Source organism: Homo sapiens, chromosome 8 (genome assembly GCF_000001405.40).
Source record: "Homo sapiens chromosome 8, GRCh38.p14 Primary Assembly".
Lineage (NCBI taxonomy): Eukaryota > Metazoa > Chordata > Mammalia > Primates > Hominidae > Homo > Homo sapiens.
This window is the reverse complement of record NC_000008.11, coordinates 109,538,109-109,565,996: the sequence shown is the minus strand read 5'-3', so window position 1 is coordinate 109,565,996 and position 27,888 is coordinate 109,538,109. Positions and strand designations below refer to the sequence as shown.

The window sequence follows — 27,888 nt, the reverse complement described above, 5'->3', positions numbered from 1 at the left end:
TTCTATTTAAGTTGGGAGTTTATTAGCAGAAATTCTAATGAATATAATAACTGGAAATATAATTTGGGGCTATAAAAAGCTCTGTACCAAAGTTAACTTTCATCTTATTCTATAATCACATTTAGTCTGAAAGCTTAGGCTAAGGGCTTAAAGGGTTCTCATTGTATAACTTATGATTTTTCTATAAAATATCACTTTAAGTAAAATAAATTAGTAAGGTTTGGCCTGTACAGTATCTATGACATTTCAAAATCTCACCGAATGTTGATTCTAGGCAGTAACTTAAGAAAGTAAAAATCCTTAAAAATTCCAAAATGATAGGAAAATCAGGCTGGATGCATTTCAACTGCGGTGAAAAGGTTAATGGGATTTTAAACTATGAAGTCTACTTTTCCCCTACAGACCCAGTATTTATTTCCTTAAGACTATTTTGGAGCCAATCAACATCATAAATAAAAGATTATTATTCCCACCTTTATGATTTAATGAATCAATAATGTTTTCCTAGCCAAGAACACAGGTAACCTACATAACGTCAGACATCTAAAGCTAGTACAGAAATCATCTAAAGGCTTTGAAATATTTGACCTGATGGCTTTAAGCATTTGTAAATTAATGGCTTTTGGGAGGAAGGAAGAACTAAGGCACTCAAAGATACCACAACATCTTACAATCTATAATGAAAGGAAAAAACTACTAATACTAGTTCTTGAAACTCACAAGTTATAATGTAGAACAAATGTCATTTTAGTTGATTTTCAATGTTTATACATGTGATATAAATTACATGTATGACAACACTAATCCAAAAGAAAATAATGATGTACAAAATGTTTATGATAAGTAAAATTATTGCATTTAATGTCATTTTCATGAAATGAAAATCATCAAATTCCTTAATGTTGTATCAAACGTAAACAATACCAGTTCAAATTAGAGGGAATGTATGTCAACACCAACTTTTGACAAAAATAAGAAAGCTAAAGCCCTACAATTTATCTAATTTAGGTCAGGTAACCATGGAAACAAAAGAATATTAAAATTATTTATTTTATCATTATGCACATTGAAGGAAATCATAACAGACAGTACAGTTCTTTTCCACCATAAAATTATATACACCCATTTATTTAGCTAGAAACACTAGCTTGAGAGGTACTGATATATTCCATTTGTGATACTTTCTGTACAGCAAACAAATGTCTTATATTTGGAGCATGTTGAAGAAAACATTGTCTCAAGTCTTTTTTGTTTTTTTGAGTCTCAATCACTAAGAGTTCAAGGTACTTTGGGAGAATCGTGGTGTCCTGGATGGCCTGATCAATGTATTAAAATCAAGCAGTATGTCTTCTTAAAATACTCTTAAATCCATACAAATGTTGCTTGGGTTGTGGAGCTGAGATTTCTCCTACTGGCATGATAAAATTTGAACATGTGTTATGAAAGTTTCACACCAATTTTGTTTTGTTCCTTCTTCATTAGCCGTTGTGCTTCCTTTTCCATTTTCTTCCTTTGTTGTTCGGCTGCTCTCTTTTCTCTGTCTGCTAGTTTCTGCTGTCTGAAAAGAAACATACTTTTACTTTTAGAAAATACCAAACAGGTAAAATGGCAAATAAATTCTAGAAAGAAATAGCAGTGCCTTTTTATTATCACCAAATAAAATGTTGAAAGTCTTAAAATTTTCTCACTAATTTGAAAATTCCAAATATTTTCAAAAACAGGATTTCTCTTAGTCCTTAGAACGTGACTTGTGAAATAGAAGAAATATTATCTCTATTTTACAAATAAGTAAAATGAGGCATAAAGGCTAAGTGACTTGCCCGAAGTCATAGGATTAAGTACAGGGATAAGAACTCACATCTTCTGACACTTCTTATTTAGATTATCTCCATTTTGTAAAACAATACTTCCATTGAACCACATCTTTTTCTGGGGATACCATTCAGAAAAGCTTGATATTGAGCTTGATAATCTCCTGTTATTATAGTAGTTACAAACAGCCAGTTTTTAAAGTGCATGATGAACACAGCTGAACAGAACACACGCTCCAAAAAGAAAATGGAAACTTAAGATACACCTTCCACCAAGTAAATTTCAGGATTAACATGTGACTAACTCTACCAAAGAGAAGAGTGGTGGGTATTTAATCAAATACTGCATGTTCTCACTTATAAGTGGGCGCTAAATGATGAGAACACATGAACACATAGAGGAGAACAATGCATACTGGGGCCTACCGGAAAGGCTGAGGTTAGACGGAGGGAGAGGATCAGGAAAAATAACTAATGGATACTAGGTTTAATACCTGGCTGATGAAATATCTGTACGACAAACCCCCTTGACACATGTTTACCTGTGTAACAAACCTGCACATCCTGCACATGTCCCCCTGAACTTAAGTTTAAAAAAAAAAAAAAAAGAGTGGTAGGTATTTACTAATCATACTTTGTGAAATACATACCTGTTCCTTACTCTTTCCGTAACTCCACTGACCCAGACTCACTCTCTCTATCTTTACTGATTGGTTAATGTAGGGAGTGGAGGTAGGAGTGGGATGATGAAACAGGAGAGAGCAGAGTAAACATACATTGGTCCTGGATCTGAAGGGTTAGGGTGTGAGAAAATCATTCAAGTATGCAACGTTGAGGAAGGAAGCTACAGGTCACAATTGGGCATGGAATAGGCAACATTAGGTTATATGCAGAAAAATCCAAAGTGGATTATCTATGTCTGGGGGAGCTCAATATTAACTACAGTGAGTGAAATGTATGTACAGTTCTCAGTCATAAACAGGAGTAGGCAGAGTTATGGATGACCAAAATTCAAGAAAGTAAAGAAACTATTTTTGGCAACATTTTGACTTTTGCTATCAATTTCTGAAGAATAGTTTTAAAAAATCTGTTTTTCATCACTCTGCTGATGTTCAATAAAAACTAATAATCTGAACTAAAAATGTCAAACCAGAAGAAAAAAGGGAGGTAGAGAAAAAATTATAAAGGGCTGGCTAGGTTATAAACAAGTAAGATAACGAAGTTTTGACCTGGTTACTAGCTGAAATAATATAAGGGCTGAGCATCCCAAATACAAAAATCCGAAATCTGAAATGCTCCAAAATCTGAAACTTTCTGAGGGCCTACCTGATGCTCAAAGGAAATTCTCATTGGAGCATTTCAGATTTTAGATTTTCATATTTGGGATGATGAACTAGCAGCAGAACACAAATATTCTAAACTCTCAAAAATTTCAAAATCTGAAACACTTCTGGTCCCAAGCATTTTGGAAAGGGATACCCAATCTGTATCAAAAACTAAAGTATAAAAGAGACAACTTACGAGATAGCTGCAGACAAAAATACATTTTACCTATCCAGATTCATGCTGGGAATTATTAAAGTACCAGAATCTTCATTCTTAGCAATACTGATCACAGTACTGGCATTATTTATAGTGGCAACAGGAAAAAAGCTCAGAGTTAGACAATACGGAATGTGGATACACTTTTAAAATGCTCAATGTCTATTCAGGGGCAGTAACAATGTACTGACACCTCCATTTCTCTTTGGCTCTACCTATGTACTTGCGGCATGAAGCATGTCTATTACGGATTAACAATCTCACTCTCCCAAGCTGTCCTTAAAGGGTAAAACATTAAGTTTTTAAGTACATTTTTTCATTTGTTTTGCTTAGGGGTTAAGAGGCTAGAATGAAAAAGAAAAGGTTTTTGTACAATATTAAGATACTTGTGAACTCATGGCTTGAACTCTACAGTGAGATTACTGTATTTAAAAAGGACAGACCCCTTCCTTTGTCTTTGTGGTTAATGGCACTAATAATTACTAGAATCCCCAAAATGTCTTAAAATACTCAGACATCTGTATCTATTATTTGTTTTTTAAAATAACACAGAATTTTAAAGAGATGATTTATCTTTTTTGATGATCCATGCAATATCCTAAGTGTTATAGTTCACAATTTAAAAAATATTCCCTTTATAAAAGATAAGCTATACTGATTAAATAAGAACTAAATTTTAAAAACTCTCACAATTTTACTGACTGAATTTTGAAATGTGACGTCCCCTAACCTGCAAAAAAAAAAAAAAAAAAAGGGCTTGATATATTTCAAAGGAAAAAAACAAAAACTTCAAACAAAATTCCCAGTTATTTAGCTGCACCCTCTGCTGGTTGTTCACAGTAACTGTAATTTATTGACAAAGCCAAGAAAGGAAAATACAAAAATGAAATCAGTTTTTTTGTTGAGTCAGATAAAGAATAATTTGTCTGCTATTCCTATGGTAAAAACAATCTCAATTTTAAAATAAAAAAATTTATATTGCTGTATCTTACTACACAATTTAAAAAATGTATGAATTCTTTAGATGCATTTAAATATCTGACTTTTAAAAAGCAGTAATCAGTCACTAGCTCTCCCTTAAGATAAATTTTCTCTTTACTCTTTGACCTAATGTAGCAGTACTAAGAAATATGTTTGCTGCTCACACACAAAAAAGAACAACCAATAAAAATGAACTTTAAAACTTCCAGAATAGTATTTTTTTGCAGAATGGGTAGTTCATCTAACACATAGGGCTTTCATGGACATCATTTAAGATATATGTACAAATGTAGAGTGTCACATAAGTTATTTTCACTCAAATGAGCAGTACTGGGCACTATGCTAGATCATGAGGAAATGGAAATAAAGTTGTAACTTCTGACCTAGAGGAATATCAAGCTTGTAATATGGTATGTATATGCATATAACCTTATATATATATATATAAAACATATATATAAAACCTTTTATATACATGTATATATAACACTCCATTTGCCATTAATAAAGTTATTTTGTTCCTATAGAGCTTAAAATTCTTGGTTTCTGTGAGGTTTTAATCATATAAAATAGTATCTGCAGTCTGAAATACAAAAAAAAAAGTCCTTATTATCTAAGGATCAAATGAAGAAAAATATAATATTTGGCAAAATAGGCTCCCTTGACTTGAAACACAGCAGGGAAGAAATCTAGTTCTTCTACTCAGGTTGCAATATAAATGCCACTCAAATACCTCAGAACTTCTTCTGCTTGCCAGGCTGCATCTTCTTCTTCTTCCCATGCATTGGTATTTTCCTGCCAGGTATCTAAGTCACCTAATTCAGACTACAATGAAAAGTAAAACAAAATTAAGAGAGTAAAAGCCATCCTTTCTCCACATAGCCGTTAAAAAGAGTATCTTTTAACACATAACTCAGAACCTGTCATTCTCCTATGTCTTCTCAGCTTCCTTACCCTGTCCTATACAAGGCACAGATGATTTTGCTTTTGGCTTGCCTAGAACTGATGTATGACTTTCAGTGTTCAACAGTCCTAGGCAAGGCCAGCTTTCTTCTTTATGTTTCATGGGATACTCTCTTAAATTCTCTTCTTTGCTGTACTTTATTTTGGAAGGAACAAGAACAGAACATGTCTTTTGTTTCTTTCTCTCCTCAGTAAGATGAGGGAGCTGGGGATAGAGTGACAAGAAACTGACTGATCCCAGACTGAATTAGAAATCCTTGACTGGACTAATCTGTGCTGAGAAGAACTGCGAGCTGAAGTTCAAAAACTAGCACAGTCATTCTTCATTTAAGCATATGTAACTTACTGGAGATTTTTTATTGGCACTTACTGTCTCAATCCTAGGCAAAAATGACAAATCATGCAAAATTTATCTTTAATGAAATACTTCTAGGTCATGCTTCCTTTTCCCAGTCTTTCTTACCTGGTATCATCTACTGGTCCCTACCTCTATTTCCCAAGCCAGACCTCTAAAAGTTCACTGTTTTCTTTCAATAACCAATGAAAATGGTCATGCTGGACTGTTTAGGTAGGTGTGGAAGTGACTGTGTGTAAAATAACTGGTACCAATCTGTGAACACATTTATTTAATATCATATTGTTTTAAATACTTACCCCTAAAAATGAAATAGAATGTTTTGAGTTTTCTTCTCCTGAGAATATATGTAATACCATACTCTGTTAAAAATTCTTAAAATATTTCTAATTATTTAATATACATTTCTGAAAGGAGGATTTTTAAAGCTACTGAAACAAAGTGCAAATGACAGCCTTGAAAAGTACCAAGTTATCCTCTTGACCGCAGTAGGTAGAAATCCTGCCTTTTCTTCTCCCTTTTTTTTTTTAGGAATCAGCGTTTCACTTTGTTGCCCAGGCTGGAGTGCATGGTGTGATCATGGTTCACTGCAGCTTCAAACTCCCGGGCTCAAGGGATCCTCCCACCTCGGCTGCCCTAGTAGCTGGGACTATAGGCACATGCCACCACACCTGGCTGATTGTTTTTTACATTTTTTTAGAGATGAGGTCTAGCTATGTTGCTCAGGTTGGTCTTGAACTCCTGAACTCAAGTGATCCTCCTGCCTCAATTTCCCAAATTGCTGGGATTACAAGTGTGAGCCACTGCACTCGGCTGGCTTTCTTTTCTATCTTTACTAATTTGACAAGATTTAAAATTGTATCTTGTTATTTTACTTTGTTTTGTTTGAGACAAGGTCTCACTCTGTCACCTAGGCTGGAGTGTAGTGGTGTGATCACAGCTCACGGCAGCCTCGACCTCTTGGGTTCAAGCAATCCTCTTACCCCAGTCCCTCCCAAGTAGCGAGGACTACAGGCACGCACCACCACACCCAGCTAACTTTTTAATTTTTGTAGAGGGGGGATTTCGCCATGTTGCCTAGGCTGGTCTCGAATTCCTGAGCTCAAGTGACCTGCCCGCCTTGGCCTCCCAAAGTGCTGAGATTACAGGCATGTAACACCTCACTGGGCCTACTTTGAGCACTAATAAGATCAAGCTTTTCTTCAAATTAGGTTATGTCTATTTCTTATTTGTAAATTTCCCATTCATATTATCTATTCTTCCACTAAAGTATTTGACTGTTAGAGTACATAAAATATTTAGATTTTTTTTAAAAAGTAAAACTATAGAGACCATTAAAAAGGGTGGTATCTGATCCTTTAGTAGAGATGGCCTTAGTAAAAAGGAAAAGGGGGAAACCATTGATAGATTTGTCTACATAAAAACTAAATACACCTGCCCAACAAAAATATCCAAACCAATTAACAAACTAAAAAAGTATAAAACATGACATTTATCTTTGGTATAAAAGAACTCTCACAACAATACGAATGATGAATTCTAGAAAAGAATAAAATGTGTAGTTTAAAAGAAGAATCTAATTTGTAGAATGAATGGTAAGATATTTTTGGTATAGAAAACAAAGTCCAATAGGTTACCATCCTCTCCTATGCAATGCCCCTTTATTCTGTCTGCTTGGGAGGAAAATACGTGGAAATAGCAGTGGAGACATTCTCCATCTACCCTATTTACCCCTTCTCAACTCTGTAAGTAGTTGTATATTTAAAACTTTACAATGAGCTATGATAGTATTATAATTATATTTAGGTGGCAAATATTGCTAATTCAGTGGGTGGGATTAAAGCATTTCACCAATATGGATCAAACATTTATGAATAAAATTTAATTTTGAGATATATAAAATAAAAAACATTATAATGCTATGTTATTCAGCTAAGTATTTATGGTGTTATGTGTTCATAGCATCGTGTAACTGCATAGGAATTATCAAAGTTTGTAATTATATTGACGTGTGTGATCATTCATTTAATATCATGTCTCCCCTACTAGAATGCATTTTTCTGAGGCAAAGACCCTTTAATGCCACAGGGCCTGGCTTTAGTAAAAACAGTGTTTTTACTCAATGAATTAAAAACATACATATACATGGGTCCCCTGGGAAGAGGGACCTCAGAAGCAACTGTGCAGTTTAAACAAACAAATAAAATACATAGATTGACAGACAGATGTAATTTAAAAATATGTCCACAAATTCTTTGACATTCCTTCCTTCAAGAGGTGGAGGCTTGCATGTGGGCTGGATTTAGTGGCTTCTAATGAAATAACATGGAAGTGACAGTGTATCACTTATAAAACCACATCACAAAAAGGCATTGTGGTGTCACCCTCACCCATGAGCAAGTGCTCTCACCGTCTTATAACTTACTGGGAAAATCAGGAGTTACATCATAAAGAAATTCAAGCAGCTCCTTGGAGAGGTGCACAGCAAGGAACTGAGGCTTTGTGCAAACAAATAGCATTAATTTGTCAGGTGTAGAAGTGAGCTGTCTTTGAAATGAATCCTTCGACCACAATCAAGCCTTCAGATGATTGTAGCCCCAACCCAATGACTTGTCTGCAAACTCATGAGAAATTCTGAGTTAGAACCACCCAGTTTAGTCACCTGGATTCCCAATCCACAGAAACTGTGTTACATTAATATTTGTAATTATTTTAAGTCACTGAATTTGGAGTTGTTACACAACAACAGATAATATAATCAATCAATCAAAGCATGCTTAAAGCTTAGGTAGGGAGGGGTCTGGACATTTGTGCTTTTAAAAAACCTCCAAAGCTGATTCTGATATGCTCCCAAGGTTGAGAACCTCAGCTGTCTACTTGTTTCATAAATTTTTCCTTTAAAAAGTTTCATTTAAGTCAAACCGTTTAAAATTAAGTCATACTTTGAATGAAAATACACTCTATGAAGAAAACAATTCATAACTCACTTTAAAATAATCTACCATTAGGGTTAATCTCTCATTTTAATGGTAATCTCTCTGATGTTTATATTTTTAAATAACATTGTATCTCTATCTTTCATGTGTACAATGAGACCTTGATCTTAGTATCTAAGGTAATTTACAATCTCATAAAAGGTTAGGATTGGTAAAACTCCAGATTAACTTCTATCAAACTGCTAAACCTGTTTCAAAGTTACAAAAATATAAATACTATGTTAAACTCATTTAGATTTTATTCCTCTGCTTTAAAGAAAACAGAAATACAACAAAACCCTTCCCTAGAACCATTAACATACTTACAGACTGATGAATAAAAGGCAGATCTTGTGTAGCTGCTAATCTACTAGAGAAACCTGTGCTCCCATCTGGGATGCCAAAATTCAATGGTTCTCTCTTCTTAATAACAATCTGAAAGATTAATTGAAAAAGAATTATAGGGATCTTTTACAAATCACTACATAAAAATAGACAACCAAAACATTTTCTAATTACTTAAAATATTTCTTCTTAAAATTTATAATGTAAAAACTAAAAAAAAAGTCTGTAAATACCAATTTCCCAGGGAATTGTTGTACAAATCAGTTACATACTAAGAAAAATTGTATTTCACTTTTAAAAATTAATACAGGCCCATTTTCTTTCTTTCTATCCTACTTTCCCCAGACCTCAAAATATAATCAATCACTTTTAGTTACTGTATTAAATAACAACAGGTATCATATCCTGCCAATAGTATTAACAACTCTCTCAGCATGTGAGATACCTATGAATACATTAACTCATTCAGGCCAGTAGCATCAAAATACACTTATATGATATGTTGGTAGCCTCATTTAAAGCATTTCCATTCTAACTAATTTAATAAGGCACTATAGCAATATACTAGGTTCCTACTGAGAGCAGCAGTATACTTCCACAATGCAAGGTATTCATCTATTAAGAAACTCACTTAAAGGATCCTTTAAAAATACACAATTTAATGTGTTTTAGCATTGAGACATTTGGACAACTCAACAACAAAGAATGTAAATGTTATCAACCTAGACAATGTAAATATAAATGTATAGCTGAAATCAGCTGAGAGAAAGAAGGTGAGGAACAACTGTATTAGAAAATGTGAAATAATGTCCTAATTTTTATGAAGTGTGTATGTGTGTGTGTTTATATATATATATGATAAAAATATTTTCTATGTTTGAATAAGAAAGTGAACTTTAAGTGTGTTTTTCTGATATAGCAGAGTGATTAGTGAGGTAGACTGGAATAAAGGAGAGGGAATGGTAGTAAGAAATAAATCTTCATTTACCATAGTATGAATGTCAGTGGACAATGTCTGTTACTGGTAAACAAGAAATGGCAATATAACCATATAGATAGATACGATGACAAACACTTGAAGAAATCCAAACAGAAAATTATTGAGTGGCTGTTTCTTGGAAGAACTGGCTAAGAGTGATGGGTCAGAAGTCTCACTTTTCATTATAAGTTCTTCTACAGTTTTTGATTTAAAAAAAGTACATGTACTATTTTGATAAATAAAAACGAAAATACTCAAGCATTCTGTTTTTTCCAGTAATTCCCTGCATCTCTAAATGATCTTCCATATTCAATTCAAAAGGGATTAAATAATGTATGGATGACTAACACAAACTCACAATTACTCTTAAGTTCTTAGAGTCCTGCATCAGTTTTATAATGGTTACAAACAATAAACTCTACCTATCAGTTTGTAGATATTACTGAAGTACAAACTTGTTAGAACTCTTATCCAATTCACCTTAGTCTCCATGGCAGAGACTGGAGTCTAGAATCTGACATATAGTAGGATTTCGATACATATATAAATATAATTTTAAAAGACTTGGGGTACAACTTACTAGAACTATGTCTAGGTCATTTGAACATATAAAATTCTTACTTAACATGACAGAAAACAAACAACTGATAATTAGAAATATGCTGATAGACTGGATTAAGAAAATGTGGCACATATACACCATAGAATACTATGCAGCCATAAAAAAGGATGAGTTCATGTCCTCCATAGGGACATGGATGAAGATGGAAACCATCATTCTCAGCAAACTATCGCAAGGACAAAAAACCAAACACTGCATGTTGTCACTCATAGGTGGGAACTGAACAATGAGAACACATGGACATAGGAAGGGGAACATCATACACTGGGGCCTGTTGTGGGGTTGGGGGAGAGGGGAGGGATAGCATTAGGGACATACCTAATGTTAAATGACGAGTTGATGGGTGCAGCACACCAACATGGCACATGTATACATATGTAACTAACCTGCATGTTGTGCACATGTACCCTAAAACTTAAAGTATTAAAAAAAAAAAAAGAAATAGGCTTTCTAATAAATGTGAATTGTATCACCTAATTTTAACTATAGGAATCTAAAAAGTAGTTTAATCTCCAAAAGCATAAATCTTAACATACTTTCTGAGTTTTCCTAATAGTTGGTGTCATGTCCTTAAAATAGTCAGGTTCCAGTTGTTCCAAAGAATTTTGTTGTGTTGCCACATTCCCATTCCCTCCTTCGATCTTTACACTGGTGGGTGCATCTTCATCCCAGGAAGTCCACTCTTCAACATCTGTCTAAATTTAATTGATCAACATTATCAGCCACAAAGGGGCAACTTAATGAACACATCATTGATGATTTATTAGAAAAATGGGCTTTCTAAAACACTGGTTTTCAAACTTTTTTAACCCACGGGAAAACATACATTTCATATCACAGATCAAAACTTGATCAAAAGTTCAAAAAATACAAGACATTCTGATATATTCTGTTCTATTTTATTCTATTATGTCCATCAAAAAACAAAAAACAAAGTAAAACGAAAGCAAATGCTCTGAAAACTGAACTGACATTAAAACTACAACTCACAGAAGGGCTGGACATTTTCACCCAAGCCTATCCAGATTGATCATCTGATAAAAAATACCAAGCTTCTCCACAGGATTTAAATAAGATGAAGTCTCAAAACATAGTATTCAAAATGTTCATGAAACAACCCAGAATTATTCAGCATATAAAAACAATACATCTAAATTTGCAAGGCAAGTTAATCAACAGATACCAACACCAAAATGATATGTTGGAATTCTCTAAGGCTTTAAAATAGCTATTATAAAAATGCTCCAACAAACAATAGCAAACACTTGAAACCAATGAAAACACAATAGAAAATGTCAACAAAGAAACAGAAGATAAAATGTAGAACCAAATAGAATTTTCAGACCAGATAAATTTAACAACACAACAAAAATTAATTTCTATTAATGATCTGCAATCCAGTTTTTAAAATATTGTTCTAGGACACTTATTCAATCTTTCAAAACAAAACAAAACAAAAGAACACACAAAAAAAACCTACCTGCTTAGGAACTGATGAATAATCAACTGTAGTTGGCAAAGTTATTTGGTCTCCACTTAATTTCCGTCCTCTGCCAGATCTGAAACAAAAATGAAATAATTTATTTCAAGAACCACCAAAACAAGCAAAGTAAAAGCACTATTATGTATGGTAATTGAAGGCTTATAAAACAAGATCTTTCTCAATTTTATGATTATTGATTTTAGTAACAGTTACTCACTAATTTATGGTAAAAAAAAGTCATAAATCAGACATCCTGTGAATGTTTTTTAAATCTTGGACAGAACAACATAACTGCTTTTTGGCTTAGGACTCAGAATTATAAACAAACTCAAGAGGAATATAAAGTCAAAAATAAAAATGCAAGACGGTTTCAGAGCATGCTCCTTGGAGTGCTGTGGGTTCTGTGGGTGAAGTTCTGGGCCACCTTTGCTGTTTTAAACAGGGTGGCTTGGCTTTTATGTTTTACACATGGGGTTTCTTGATAAGATTAACTATTAAGAAGTTTAAAAATCACTAGTTTGAACCAAATGGTAACTTACTTTTAAGGATTAGTAGGAAAAGTACCACATTCAACAGGACGTACTATAACTCAGTTGTTAAGAACATGGGCTGTGGAATCTGTGTAAACCACAGTTTTCAATGTTACTTCTATTATGTCTAGTTAGAATTACCTACTTTTCAGCCTCAACAGCCTCATCTATAAAATGCAGGTATTCAAACCCACTTTTGCAGGGTTGTTTGGATTTAATTAAGTGACATATTTAAAAACCCTAGACAGTGTGTGCCTGCTACATAGCACAACATACAAAAAATGGCAGGTAATAGAGATAATTAGTCATTTACTTCACTTCAAATAATCTATAAAAAAAAAAAGCATCAACTAAGAACTAAGAACGATAAAGTCAGCTATTTTTATTACAGATTCAAAGCTATATTTGTTTAAAGGGTGAATAGAAAAGTAATATAGTCCTTTATGAAATTTATGATACAAGCGTGTTTTTCCTTTCCATAGAGATGGGGTCCTGCTGTGTTGCCCAGGCTGGTCTTGAACTCCTGGCCTCAAGCTATCCTACCCCCTCGGCCTCCCAAAGCATTGGGATTACAGGCATGAGCTACCATGCCTAGCCAAGTCTGGTATTTTAAAATACATGGTCTAAGGTTCCTTCAGACACCAAAGAGAAGCTTATCCTAACATATGGTCAGTTTTCTTTAAAACTGAACATACAATCAATTCTAAATATGTATACATTTACAACAGAAATTTATAGTGCCAATAGGAATGTCCTTAATATTTTTACATCAAGAAAATTTCTTATCCTAGAAGTAATCTATATTTAATGAAAATTTTAAAAAATAGAAGTATAAGAAGAAAACATCTACATTTCATCACCACTGTTAACACAATGCTTCTTTTAACTTCCTGCCTTCTGGCAATTAATACCCATTTTTAATGTTGCTTTACCTGGTGAATTTCTGGCCATTCTCTTCCTCATTCTCTGGTAATTTGAACACTTAGTTTGCTCCTTTTTCTACTTCCCAAATCCTATCCTCTTGGGTGATTTCAAGTCAACCACCTAAATTTTCCATTTCTTTCTTCACTTCTGCCCCAGTGATCATCCAGAGATGATCATTTCACCCACTTGTTCTCTTGCAATACCCTGGATTTTTTTTTTTTTTTTAAATCCCAGACCACTCTACTTTTAGCAATAAGTTCAATTTAGCAGCTATCAAATGGTCATATAGCCAGAGACTGCAGTTCCTATCCTTCCTTGCAGCTAGGGGGCCATATGACTAAGCTCTGGAAAGCAGGCAGTGCAAAAATTGTTGTGTGTAACCTCTAAGTCATGTCTATATATATTAAAAAAAGAGCTGATTGCTGTCCATTTCCTCTTTTACTATACCCTCCTCTTAGTATGTAAGTAACTTTTTCACAGTACCCTTAGGCCACAGAAACACCTAACAATTCCACTGAATAAGGTAGTTACACCCAAAAAACTTAAGTATATCCTAACTGCTTAGTAGCCATTGTAAAAAATACACATTTAAAGAAAAAGTAATATTTTTATTTTATTCTTAAATAACCACAATCACTGAACTTATTAATGAAATTTGTGTGCCTGTTGAACACTGCACAGCTTCTTATGCCTTAGAATAAGACTGGAGACCATCATTCTTGTTTTCAGTTCTACATTAATTTTGGTGCAGTACTCGCTTTTAATTACAACCTAAAATCCTGGCTTTGCAATGAGATGTCACCAAAAATATAAGTAAACAAAAACTTATCTCAAACATTAAAGAACACCATCATAAAAAAATACTGCAGGATTTAATGTTGCAAATGTGAACTACTTTGAGTTGAGGTATTCAACAGATGCTATCACTATGTTTCACTGCAAAATTTAAAATATTCTATGGCATCCCTGTGAATTTCATGTAAAGCCCTGAGGTGCCTCAGCACACATTTTAGACATCATAGCTCTTGGGTATGATCGTGTGACAAAACAGAAGGAACTGAAGTCTACAGATGATGTCCTAAAGCAAATGACTTACCTGCTCTTGACTTCCTGCATATTCTAGAATGTTACTCAAACAGAAAAAAAAATTTTTTTTTTTTAGGATTTTTCTTAGGATTTTTTTTTAAATATAAAAACAACACTATTGTAGTATAGACAGAAATACCTATTCCGAATTTCACCTAACCACTTTAAAACATTCCCATAATGAAACGAATACATCAAAGTTCTGTGATGATTATAATAATGAAAGTTGGTCTGTCTATTCCTAAATAGTATTAAGCATGTTATTTTAGTGGAAAGTGTAAGAATTTGAATGAACAAAACAACTGAACCTCTATTTTCTAGATCTGAAGTAGAGAAAAAGTATCTAAAAATGACTAGGAATTAATGAATAAATACTGCAATCAAGATATTCAGCTTAAATATAACCTGTCCTGTCCACGAAATTTGAAGTTTTGAAGGTATCCAAAACCAGCGAGGAGATAAACAGGTTAGTTTGAACATAAAACTTATTTACCTGCATATTAATCTCTTTAGGAATGAGAATACTGTTGCTAGGCAGGTACAAAATTTAAATAACCGAAACTGGGTGATGGCCATGGTGGGAATCAAAACCTGTGGAAGAGGCACAAAACAAAAAATGCATTAAATTGATTTCAAAAGTCATACTCCTGTCCTGAAAAGACCTATTATGCACTAAGAAAAATCTAAGATATTTTTTACCTTTCTCTAGAAACTATAACACAGTAAATTTTAAAATTATAATTTAAATCATATTAACAAGTCAAAAACCAGGTTTTCGAGTTTTCAATGGTTGTAAGGATAAAACCCTTCATTCTGAGTTTTTGAAAATAATTTTACCTAAATCTATTAATACAAAAATCTACAATTCAAAAAATAAAAAAGTATAAAATAGAATATATTAAATCTCTGTGTACCTTTTAAAGTTTGAACCACATGAACATAATACTATTTAAAATACTTTAAATATTTTTAACTTGCAGATGAATATATTTCCTTATATCCATTTTATAGATGAGGAAATTGAATTAAGAGAGGTCAAATAACTTGACCAAAGTCACATAGCTAGTAAATTGAAAGTTACCATGGAGCTCATTTAGTCCAGTGGTTCACAAATCTGGGAATCTATTAAAGAAATGCCAATACCTAGGAGTACCTCTAGTAAGTCCATTAAATCATATATTCTGAGGGGCAAGGACTGGTCATAACCAATAAGACAAGCAGGGAGATAAAAACTACTCAATTGAAAAGGCAGCAGGAAACAAAGAAAAGAGAACAAATAACACATGGGACAAGCCAAAAACAAATAAGATGACAGACGTAAATCTAACCATATCAATAATCTCATTAAATGCAAATTGTATAGCATTCCAATTGAAAAGCAGAGATTGTTAGATTGAATAAGAAAGAAAGACCGCCCCACTCCATGTTGCCAATGAGAAATGCATTTTAAATAAAAAGACACAAATAGGTTAAAAGTAAAAGGATAGGAGAAAATATACTATGCTAGCACTAATCAAAAGAAAGGTGAAGTGACTATTTCAATGTTAGACAGATTATAGGAAAAATAACATTACCAGGTATAAAAGTGGTCATTTCACAGTGATAAAGGGGTCAATTAATAAAAAGTACATAACAATCTAAAACACGTGTCCTTAATAACAGACTTTTGCCAATATCATAAACAAGACAGATAACATTGTTAGAGTCTGCAGATATTAAAAGGATACTGAAGAACTATTACAAACACCTTTGTGCCTGTATTTACTTGACAAGTGAGATGAAATGGACAACTTCCCTGAAAGACACAAATTACTAAAGCATAAGAAGAACAACCTGAAAATCTATATATCTATTAAAGAAATTATATTTGTAGTTATAAAAATCTCCCAGACACAGATGGCTTCACTGGTAAATTCTACAAAACACTTAGGAAGGAATAATACCAATTCTATACAAACTGCCAAAAAACTGAAGAAGGAATATTTCCCCAACTCATTATTTGAGGCCAGTATTACACTGATACTAATCCAAAGATATTACTAGAAAAGAAAACTATTAATATTCTATGAATCTAGACACAAATCTCCTTAGCCAAATATTAGTAAATTAAATCCAACAATATATAAATGGATACTACATTGTGAAAAACTGGTGCTTAGTTTGGAAATGTTGGATTGGTTTAACATTTAAAAATCAAATGTCATTCACTATATTAGCAAACTAAAAACAAAAAACCATATAAACATCTCAATAGAGACAGAAAAAGCCTTTGACAAAACTCAACATCCATTCCTGTTAAAAAAAAAAATTGCAGCAAAGTATAAGGGAACTTTCTCAACCTGATCAAAAACATCTATGAAAAACCTACAGTAATATGAGACTTAATGGTAAAAAAATTTGATAATTTCTCCCTAAGATCATGAACAACACAAGCATGTCTGCTTTTTCTACTTTTAGTCAACATCGTAGTGGAAGTTCTGGCCAATGCAATCCAGCAAAAAAAAAAAAAAAAAGAAAAAAGAAAAAAATAGAAAAGAAATAAAAGGCATCCAGAATGGAAAGGCAGAAATAAAAGTGTGATATTCTATGTGGAAAATTCAACGGGATCTACCATTAATTGTATTTCTATACGTTAACAACAATCAATAAGAAATTGAAACGTTAAAAAAATTTATATAGGCATAAAAAAATGATACTTGAGGACAAATCTAATTAAGGACTTGACTACTGAAAACTATCAAATATTGCTGAGACAGTTAAAAGGCCTATTAATTTAAAAAGACTTTTTCAGAGACAGAATATTTTTATTAAGATATCAACATTTCCCAAAATGAGTTATAGATTCCAGGCAATCTCAACCAAAATCTGGGCAGGTTTTTTCTTTAAAACTTGACAAGCTAATTTCTAAAGTTCATATGGAAATGCAAAGAACGTATATAACAGCCAAAACAACATTGAAAAAGAACAAGGTAAAACAGCTAGCACTATCTGGTTTCAAGACTTGTTATAAAGCTTCAGTAATCAAAACTGTGTAGTATTGGAATCAAAATACACGAATAGATCAATGGAAAGTAAAGGAATAGACCCACGTATATACAAAAACTGAAATCTGATAAAGATGCAAAGGTAATTCAGAGAGAAAAGAATAGTTATTAAGAAAAAAAAAGTGCTGGTTAAACTGGATATCCATATCCATATGGAAAAAATCAAAACAAAAACCTTCTATATATATCTGGCACCAGTTAAAAGTAATTAAAAATAGATTATAGACCTAAATGTAGTCTGAAACTACAAAATTTGCAAGAAAAAAAAACAACACAACTTTGTGACCCTGGGTTAGGCAAAGATTTTTAGGTAGTACAACAAAAGCACAATCCATAAAATAAAAGATTAGTAAATTGGATTTTATCAAAATTAAAAACTACAATTCAAAAACACTATTAATGGAATGAAAAGACAAATCACAGACTGAGAGAAAAATCCTTGCAAAGCATATGTCTAATAAGGGACTTAAACCCAGAATATATAAGAACCTCTCAAAATTCAAAAATAATTTTTAAAAACTCAATTTAAAAACGAGCAAAAGGTCTAACTAGACATTTCATCAAAAAACATATACAAGGCCAGGCGTGGTGGCTCACACCTGTAATCCCAGCACTTTGGGAGGCCGAGGCGGGCGGATCACGAGGTCAGGAGATCAAGACCATCCTGGCCAACACGGTGAAACCCTGTCTCTACTAAAAATACAAAAAATTAGCCGGGCATGGTCGCGGGCACCTGTAGTCCCAGCTACTCAGGAGGCTGAGGCAGGAGAATGGCGTGAACCTGAAAGGCAGAGCTTGAAGTAAGCCGAGATCACGCCACTGCACTCCAGCCTGGGCAACAGAGTGAGACTCCATCTCGAAAAAAAAAAAAAGAACATATACAATGGTAAATAAGTAGATTAAATGATAGTCAACATCTTTAATCATTAGAAAAATGCAAATTAAAGCCACAGTGAGAAATTATTACATACCTACTGGGATGATTCAAACTAAACATAATGACCATAGCAAGTACTGGTGAGGATTTGGAACAACTGGCACGCTCACACTTTGGTGGTGGGAAAGTAAAATGTACAACCACTTTGAAAAACAATTTGGTAGTTTCTTACAAAGTTTAACAAACATCTACCATATGACCCAGCCATTCTACTCCTAGTAATCTACCCAAGATAAAGAAAAGTATATAGCCATATAAAGACTTGTATTTGAAGGCTGAGGCAGGAGAATAGCTTGAATGCAGGATGCGGAGGTTGCAGTGAGCTGAGATTGAGCTACTGCACTTCAGCCTGGTGACAGAGCAGGACTCCGTCTCAAAAAAAAAATTGAAATAAATAAATAAATAAAAGACTTGTATTTGAATTGCAGCTTTATTTTTATTTAATAGCTCCAAACTGGAAACAACACAAATGTATATCAACAGGTGAGTGGACAAACAAATTGTAGTATATAAATACAACAGACTACTTACTACTCAGCAATAAAAAGGAATGAACTATTGTTACAAGTAATAGCATGACTATATCTCAGAATAATTATACTGAATGAAAAGAGTCAGACCACCAAAAAAATATACACTGTATGATTCCATATATAGTATTTTTTAAGCTCTAGAACAGGGGTGTCCAATCTTTTGGCTTCCCTGGGCCACACTGGAAAAAGAATTATCTTGGGCCACACATAAAATACACTAACACTAACCAGAGCTGATAAGCCTAAAAAAATTGCAAAAAAATCTCATAATGTTTTAAGAAAGTTTACTAATTTGCATTGGGCTGCAGTCAAAGCCATCCTGGGCTATATGAGGCCCACAGGCAGCAGACTGGACAAGGTTGCTCGAGAAATTATAAACAAATATAGAGTGACAGAAAATATCAGCAGTGCCTTGTAATGAGGCAGGGAGAAGTGGGAAGGAAGGATCACTGACAGACATGACGAAACTTTTGGAGGTAATGGATATACTTACGGCTTCAGTTGTGGTGGTTTCATAGGTGAGTGTATATATATTCATCAAAACTAATCAAATTGTATACTTTAATTATATACAGTTTATTGCATTTCAATTAGAGCTCAAAAGAGCTGTTAAAACAATCTACACGAAGACATTTTTGAACAATATTATGTCACTTAAATTAGAACAGTGTTCATATTCTGGTTAGAATACTGTTTTAAAAACTCATTAACACCATCATAATCTTGTATCAATTATTTGTTACTTTCTAGAAAGCCAACTTCCATTAGGAAACTAGGACAATTAGTGAAAAGAAACATTATTTCAGAACTTCTCTAAAAACAGAAATCTGATTTCACAATAGCATTTCAATATACTGTAATAGCTTACTTTATATTTCATAAAAAGCATTCTTCTTAGTGATTAACATGTAATACTCATTCAATGCTCACAACAACCCTGGGAAGGACTTGAAGCAAGTACTATTTTGTCTCTACTTCAGATAAGAAAACTAAGGCACAGCGGGGTTAAGTAAGCTGCCAAAGATACAGAACTGATAAGTTATAGAACTGGAATTTGAACCCAAAGAGTCTGGTTGTAGTGTCTCAGTCCTTAAATATCACACTCATACTGCCTCCCTATGATTAAATAACAAGATATATGTCTTTATGAAAGAGATGATATAGGAATTGAAAACTACAGCCATAGCAATGATAGGAATAAAGATTCTAAAAATGATAAAACTATGCTGGGCGCGGTGGCTCACGTCTGTAGTCCCAGCGCTTTGGGAGGCTGAGGCGGGCAGATCACGAGGTCAGGAGTTCGAGACCAGCCTGGCCAATATGGTGAAATCCCGCGTCTACTAATAATACAAAAATTAGCCAGGTGCGGTGGCACATGCCTGTAGTTCCAGCTACTCAGGAGGCTGAGGCACGACAATCACTTGAACCCTGGGAGGCGGAGGTTGCGGTGAGCTGAGATCACATGACTGCACTCCAGCCTGGGCAACACAGTGAGACTCCATTTCAAAAAAAAAAAAGGTAAAACTGGCATTATTTTGGTAGCCTTTTTTTTTTTTTTTTTTTTTGAGACACAGTCTCGCTCTGTTGCCCAGGCTGGAGTGCCATGGTGCAATCTCAGCTCACCGCAACTTCCGCTTCCCGGGTTCAAGCAATTCTCCTGTCTCAGCCTCCTGAGTAGCTGGGACCACAGGTGCCTGCCACCACACCAGGTTAATTTTTGTATTTTTAGTACAGACAGGGTTTCAGCATGTTGGCCAGGCTAATCTCGAGCTCTTGACCTCAAGTGATCCACCCCCTCAGCCTCCCAAAGTGCTGAAATTACAGGTGTGGGCCACCACGCCCGGTCTGTATCCTTTTTAAACATGGTTCTTAATTTCCAAATTTTTCTTATACATCTTAGTCACCTATACTATATATGTATTGCATATATTGTATACTATATATGTACTGCATATATTTACCCTAATAATCACTATTTAATTTTAAAAATTTCTTAAGATGAGTTTTGGCACAAGTTAAAGTTGAAAACTTAAGTAACTATGACAATGTCCCGACTAAGAGCCTCAAAATACACACGAAAGAGGGAAAAAAATCTGTTAATCCATTAGAGATAGTCATTTTTCCACTGTTGAGAGGTAGAACAGACCACATGTTAAATCAAGTCACAAGAAATACACAGGCAAACATACATATGTGTGTGCATATGTGCACACACTTACAGGAATAACATTACTGATAATGGAATCTCATGTCTTAGCTTTTCCTTGCCTTCTCTTTGTCAAAGGAGGAGAATTACTATGTATTCAGAATCATGATTCCTGTCATTGGAACAGCTGGAGAATACGTCATCCAACTTCTTAAATTTTCTAAATGAGGAAACTAAGATACACTGAAGTTAACGGTTCTGCTCAAGGTGAAACAACCAGGTAATAACAAAATCACAACTAAAACAGACTGGCCTCTCAATCCATTAGTAACACCTTTAGAAACAATCACAACACTTGATTAATACAATTATTTAGAGTGCTGACTTCTTAAAACAAAAAGAAAAAACATACAGTAATTTGATAGTTTTTTTTCCCAGAATAAAAAAGCACAAGCAGTATATTTGGACTTCAGTTCTACACATACTTACTTAAAAGCGGATAAAACCTAACTTAAGTAATAATTATCATGTGACCACATTAAAGGGACAGCTATATACCTTTTTAAAATTGAAATGTTAATTAGTTTTTTAATTACCTTACATGAGCATAAGATAAGCAATAACATTTAGAAACATAAGGAGTAAAATCATCCTGGATAAATACACCATCCCTGTACTATAACATACTTTTTTTTTTTTTTTTTTTTAATTGAGATAGAGTCTTGCTGTGTCACCCAGGCTGGAGTGTAGCAGTACAATCTTGGCTCACTGCAACCTCTGTCTCCTGGGTTCAAGTTATTCTCGTGCCTCAGCCACCCCCAAATCTGAGACTACTGGCACATGCCACCACACCCGCTAATTTTTGTATTTTTACTAGAGACGGGGTTTCGCCATGTTGGCTAGGCTGGTCTCGAACTCCTGGCCTCAAGTGATCTGCCTGCCTCAGCCTCCCAAAGTGCTGGGATTACAGGTGTGAGCTACCATGCCCAGCCCATGCTTTTTAAAAATGCATTTCATGGGGATTCAAGACTCCTAAAGTCTTGAAAAAAGCAGCTTTTTACCTAATAAAATATTACATTGAATAGGTTAAAAATTATATAGTAAAAAAAAATGGTCATCTCTGATAGGGTATACTGAAGCATTAGAGAGCTAAGATCTAATATCTCAATCTGAGTAGTAACACCACATACTTGACTGTATGTACTGTTTGTATGCTATACCTCAATACGAAAGTTCCAAACAAACACATAAAAAATAAGAACAAAACAAAATCAGAAAGCCAGAAAAACATACTTAACTCTCATAGTATCTGATCTTGATTGCTCTGTAAAGGCATCATTGCCAATTTCTTCTAAGGAAAGGCAAAACGCACACTAGTCTTTTCTATTTCTAGGGTCAGAAGGGGCTTGTAGGCTATTAAGGTACAAAGACAGGGCTCTAAAATGTTACCTTAGCAATACTCAAGTAGTTTTGTACATATGGAGGCTGTCTCTCCATATAAGCTGAAAGATTTACTGAATGCCTAACCTGGAAGTGGCCTACTAATTGACAGGATGAAAAGAACAGTGACTGTTAAAAAAAAAAAAAAAAAAAAAAAAAAAAAAAGAACCAGAATATTAAAAATTGTACTCGAGTTATTTAAATACTTCTGTCAAAAACATCCCAACCAGTGGTTTACTCAAGTTCAAATCATGCAACAATGCTGACTCCTCCTTTCTTTCTCCTTACACCTAATTGCCAAAAAGACCCTATTCAATTTCCCAGTACTGCCCATATTCTTTCCTATTTCCACTGTAATCTATCTAGCATAAGCCTTTACTACCTCTTGCTGGAGTACTGTAAAGTCTTCTTAATTCTAGTATTTTACTCTTCCCAAGAAACAACATTTTTTATTTTGTATTATGGTTATTTCTATACCTTACTTTGCCCTGTACAACCCTTCTCTAGAGTATTTTATTCATTTGGTACCTTCAGTTACCATTTGCAAAGTAAGACTTGAAAAAAAAGTTTGATTGCTTCATTATGAGTAGAATGATCTGAAAAATTATGATGGTGAACAATCACTTCATTTAAAGCTGATTTGTCAAGAACAAAACTCTCAATCAAAAGAAAACTTTCTCAAATGAAAATTAGCCTAAATTTTCTGAAAAATTATAAGAAAAAAGAGCCAGAAAAGAGACTACAGAACGTGTGGTACTTGGCAGGGAAGGAAATAGAATCAAGGAGATACTCTATCAGTATGTTGTGAAGAAAAATGATATTTACCATTTGGGACTGTCAGTTTTAGGATATACATGAATAAAAGTTGAGAATAAATTTCATAAACTGCCCTAGTAACCACAGCCATCACCTTTCCAAATATTGTTAGTGTCATTGTTTTATAAATATTTGCCAACTTGAATAACTTCAATGCTAACTGGAGGTAAAATTTAAAGGTTGTTTTTTTTTTCCCAATAAAAAATAGAAACTGGGTCTTTTAGTGATTACAGAATAGAATTCTCTCCCTAGCAATCAAGAATATCCTCATTCTGCAGAAAACTTCCTTTTGTGATTAATAAAAGAGGAGAACTGATACTCATTGACTGTCTACTATGAACCATGCACTATCAAAATGTTAACACACAACTCAAAAAGCCATCTTATGACATAGATACTATTGTCCTTGTTTCATTGAATTAAACACAGAGTAAGCACATCCAGTGACTCCATTCAAACCTAGGTATATTTAATTCAAAAGCCAAGAACATCTCATGAACAAGGAACATTCTTAATAATTCAGTGATACTACCACTTCCAAGATAAATTTTCCAACCAGTTGCACTAAAATAGGGAAAATGCGATCAAGCCACACTTTGATTTTATCAATCACACTGACTGGCAGGCAGGAATATCCTTTGAGACCTGTATTTACTTAATGTCCCTATTCATCTAAATGAATATATATTAGCACCTACTATGTTTCAGTCGCTACTTTGGATTTGGAAGCTGGGAAATACTACCAACTCCGCATGGGGAAACTCTGCGTTCACTCCCAGTTGTCATGAGCTTGCCCATAAACTTATCCCTGAGGAATGCAAGAAACTAAGGAGGCAGGACGTCCATCAGTCTTGCTCATTCTGGTATTTATAGGTCTCAGTCAAAGCCGGGCACATAGTAGGTACTCAAATATTTGTTGAATGGAAGGAAACTAACATTCCTTGAGCACTTGAACGCTCAAGACAATGTTCGATCACCTCACTGGAATCCTAAGGACAACCAAAAGAGGTAGGTTTTTCACTACTCCCGTTTAATAGATGAGGTTGACAGACTTAGATTCACTTACCCAGGATTTAAAGGGACTGACCCGAAAGCCCAAGGCTCTCCCTACATCATATCCTACTTAAGAAACCTTTTAATTGTGTGCACATTGCCTCAGTGCGATTTTTGAAATGCCCTCTAGATCACCAATTTGATAAGTATCTTACGCTACTTTACACTTTAGTTGCTTTAAAACACTTTCTAGAACGGAACAATGTTAATATAATCTAATCTTAACATTAAATTTCCTTAAAAATTACAAAGACAAAAATTTGAGGTATATCAGAATGAGATTCAAAACTATGAGGCAATGTATCCTCATTAAGGCTTTTTGAAGAAATGACAACTCTAGGAAATCAAGAATGAGAGCTCTGCCATGTTAACGGAAAAAAAATACAATTAAAAAAAGAATGCTACATTAGAAACTGATAGATCAAATGTATTATATCTTTTCTTGTTGAAATTCTCGGTAAACTGCTAGAGGTCCTTTCAAGTAGCCTCAATACATCACAATTCACAAAACAAGCAAAGCCAAAATCTATGTTCGGTACATACTAAACAGGTGCTGTATTTCTAAAACTCTATTTACGAATCTTTTCATACCAAAATTTGAAAACCATATGATCTAGTACAGTCCAGAATATCCTCAAACTATAACTCTCTGAAGTGGGTTAGAAAATATTACAAAGCTCCCAAAATAAAATTTACCTGAACTCACTTAAATTTGATAAATAAAGGTTTGAGCAGCGGCCCGTAAGAGAAGGGGAAACAGAAGCGGAGTGTGAGAGCTGGTAGTAAAATCGAACATTCTGTGCCATGTCTGGCAACCGAGAGTCAGGCCCTCAAGTATGTGACACCACTGGGGCGGTTCCGAAGGCGGAGTAAGGTCTCCAGAATAACTCAAAAGGAAAGAGTTTCATAACTTAAGTGGTTTCATTTCAGATTACCCACGTGAAATTTGTTGATGAAAAAAAAATCATACCCACTGCACAGATGAGAAAAACAGGAGCGTTTTCAGGTTATACAAGCCGACGCCTGGCGCCCGGCGTGACGTGAAACGCTCTAAGTTGCTGGAGCTGGATACCAGGTGAACTGAGATTTAAATTGTGGAAAAATCGGCCTGGAGAGGTACAAGGCCTGTAGACGGAGGGCAGTAAGGTCACGCAAATTTCCCTGAGGAAGGCGGCTTTGGAGGCTGCGTGCTTTCCGGGCCGGTACCCCACAGCCCAGTCTCCCACGCGTGAGCGGAGCATGGCGAATGCTGCACGCCTGGGTCCCGCTCCCAGTCGCAGTTTCCTCACCCCAGAGGTCACCCTGACCCGGAAACAGTACCCAGAGCAGCTGTCGGGCGTCGAGGGAGGTCTGGTGGAAGGGCGAAAGGAAGGTGGGAGGGCGGGAAGTGCGCGGCTAGGCGGAGGGCCGACGGCGAAGGGCAGACAATGCCCCAGAGGCTAGGGCTGGGGTCGGGATGGGGGTAGGGAGAGGAAAGCCCCTCCCAGGCACGCGCGAACCGCACACACTCACCTGCCCCTCCCCCTCCCCGCCCGCCCGGCGGAGGCTCCGAGCTGCCGCGGGCCGCGCGCGCACACAAGGCGCGCTCACGCGCGCTGCCTGTCTCTTCCTCGAGCTCGCGCTCCGCCCGCTCACTCCCAGCCCCGCTCATTCAAAGCCGGGCGCGCGCTCCGTAGCAGCCTGCGTTGCCTCTGCGCAGCTGCCATGGCCGCCCCTTCATCGGGAAACCCGCCCCCAGCCCCTCCTCTAGCCCCGCCCCCAGCCCTCCTTGAAGGCGGCTCTCGGCTGTCTCCAGGCCCTCGCTTCTGCACTCCGCCTCAGGTCCTGGCTGGCCCAATAGGTGAGAGGCTACGGGTCTGACGTCGAGACTGGGAGCCAATGAGCCCTGGGAGCGGGGCAAGCGGCGACAGGCACGCCAGGTTCGGTGAGGGGTAGCTTTTTGGGACTATTGCGAGCTGCTTTGACTGTTTATTCTCGGAGCGCCTGCTTCTGCCAGATGTCCCTACTTTCCTTCTATGCAGAGTGCCTCCCCTCCAGCAAAGTCCCTTTCTGTTCAACCCACAGAACCCCTGTGTCAGATGCGACCAAGGAAAATACACTGCAACAAATGAGGGATCTCCCTCTGTCTCAGGAAGATTTGGATGTGGCTAGACAGACCCCCTCCCCTCAGTCATTCCGCCACCTCAAAGATGTGGAATGCTGAGTTTAATTCAAGACGTAGCCTCCTCCCAGTAATTTTTAATTGAATTGTGTTGAACTAGAAATGAAGAAGTGGCACTTCACCGTGTCCATGCATTTGTTCCTCACATGCACCCTGGACTTGCCCTTCTTTCAACCTGAGATGTTCTTTCCTTCAGTGCTTCTCTCTTTGCAGCCTGATTCTTCTTTTTATCTTGTATGCTATGAAAGGGGTTGTTATGTGCAGGGGACCCTCAGAATACTATGCTCCACAGTTGCAAAGTGACTGGTGAGGGAGAAGTGAATAGGGTCTAAGGCCAAAATCAGTTTATGCAAATTGTTCTCAACAAGCCTTTTTCTTTATATGCCTTTAATTTTTTTTTTTATTACAGCTGCCTTTGTTCTCCCACCCTGACCCAGCAACCACCTACCCACTTAACTTTGTGATAATCTACCACAACCGTCCTCTTTCCAATTTGCACCACGTTTTTTATTAATAATTTAATTTCCAAGACGGGAAAGATGTGTTTATGGCTCGTGCTCTGGAATGGTTCTGTGTAAAGTTGGGTAAAATTATTTAATCTGTTCACCTCAATTTCCTCATCAGTAAAATGGCCATAATAGTGCCTACTTCATGCAGTAGTAATGCTTGCAAAGCTCTCTTAGCACAGAGCCTGGCACATAGCAAACATTCATAGATAACAGTTGTTGCTGCAGCTACTACTACTACTGCATTACTATTGCATTACTACAGTATCATTTCCGGTAATTGCATTTCCCAAAGGCCATGCAACCCCTTTCAGTCCCTTAAACACCTGCTCTAACTTTAATCTCTAGAATTCTAATGCCTAAATTTCAATATAAAATTTCTAAATTTTTTTTGGATTTAAAAAATCGAGTTATCTAGCTGGGCACGGTAACTCATGCCTGTAATCTCAGCACTTTGGGAGGCCGAGGCAGGAGGAACGCTTGAGCCCAGGAATTTAAGACCAGCCCAGGCAACGGGCGAAACTCCGTTTCTACAAATAATTTAAAAATTAGCCAGGTTTGGTGGCGCATGCCTGTAGTCCCAGCTACTCAGAAGGCTGAGGTGGGAAGAATCACCTGAGCCTGGGAGGTCGAGACTACAGTGAGCCATGATTGGG

General features: G+C 35.7%; 2 protein-coding genes across 4 annotated transcripts, besides 2 other annotated features; both read right to left on the bottom strand.

Moving 5' to 3' along the window:
• On the bottom strand, positions 1–26,295 carry EBAG9 (estrogen receptor binding site associated antigen 9). Of its 3 annotated transcripts, none has more exons than NM_198120.3 (7): positions 26,078–26,295; positions 15,090–15,187; positions 12,054–12,132; positions 11,110–11,268; positions 8,955–9,062; positions 5,068–5,159; positions 1–1,558 (listed from the first exon to the last, which is right to left on the bottom strand). In NM_198120.3, the coding sequence occupies exons 2-7, from the start codon at positions 15,170–15,172 to the stop codon at positions 1,438–1,440; spliced, it is 642 nt and encodes a 213-aa protein (NP_936056.1). In that variant the 5' UTR covers positions 15,173–15,187; positions 26,078–26,295; the 3' UTR covers positions 1–1,437. The 3 variants fall into 3 exon arrangements, with proteins under 3 accessions (NP_936056.1, NP_001265867.1, NP_004206.1); NM_001278938.2 differs by lacking the exon at positions 26,078–26,295 and adding an exon at positions 25,272–25,824; NM_004215.5 differs by lacking the exon at positions 26,078–26,295 and adding an exon at positions 25,536–25,824.
• Positions 25,456–25,815: an enhancer, noted in NCBI's record as "active region_27810". NCBI's record gives its function as "activates an Ori minimal core promoter by ATAC-STARR-seq in GM12878 lymphoblastoid cells {active_cell/tissue: GM12878}" and the evidence as "EXISTENCE:reporter gene assay evidence [ECO:0000049][PMID:35858748]".
• Positions 25,876–26,425: a silencer, noted in NCBI's record as "silent region_19470". NCBI's record gives its function as "represses an Ori minimal core promoter by ATAC-STARR-seq in GM12878 lymphoblastoid cells {active_cell/tissue: GM12878}" and the evidence as "EXISTENCE:reporter gene assay evidence [ECO:0000049][PMID:35858748]".
• Positions 26,197–26,271, bottom strand: EBAG9UORF (uncharacterized EBAG9uORF). Its single transcript, NM_001436381.1, has one exon. It carries the CDS (start codon positions 26,269–26,271, stop codon positions 26,197–26,199), a length of 75 nt encoding a protein of 24 aa, NP_001423310.1.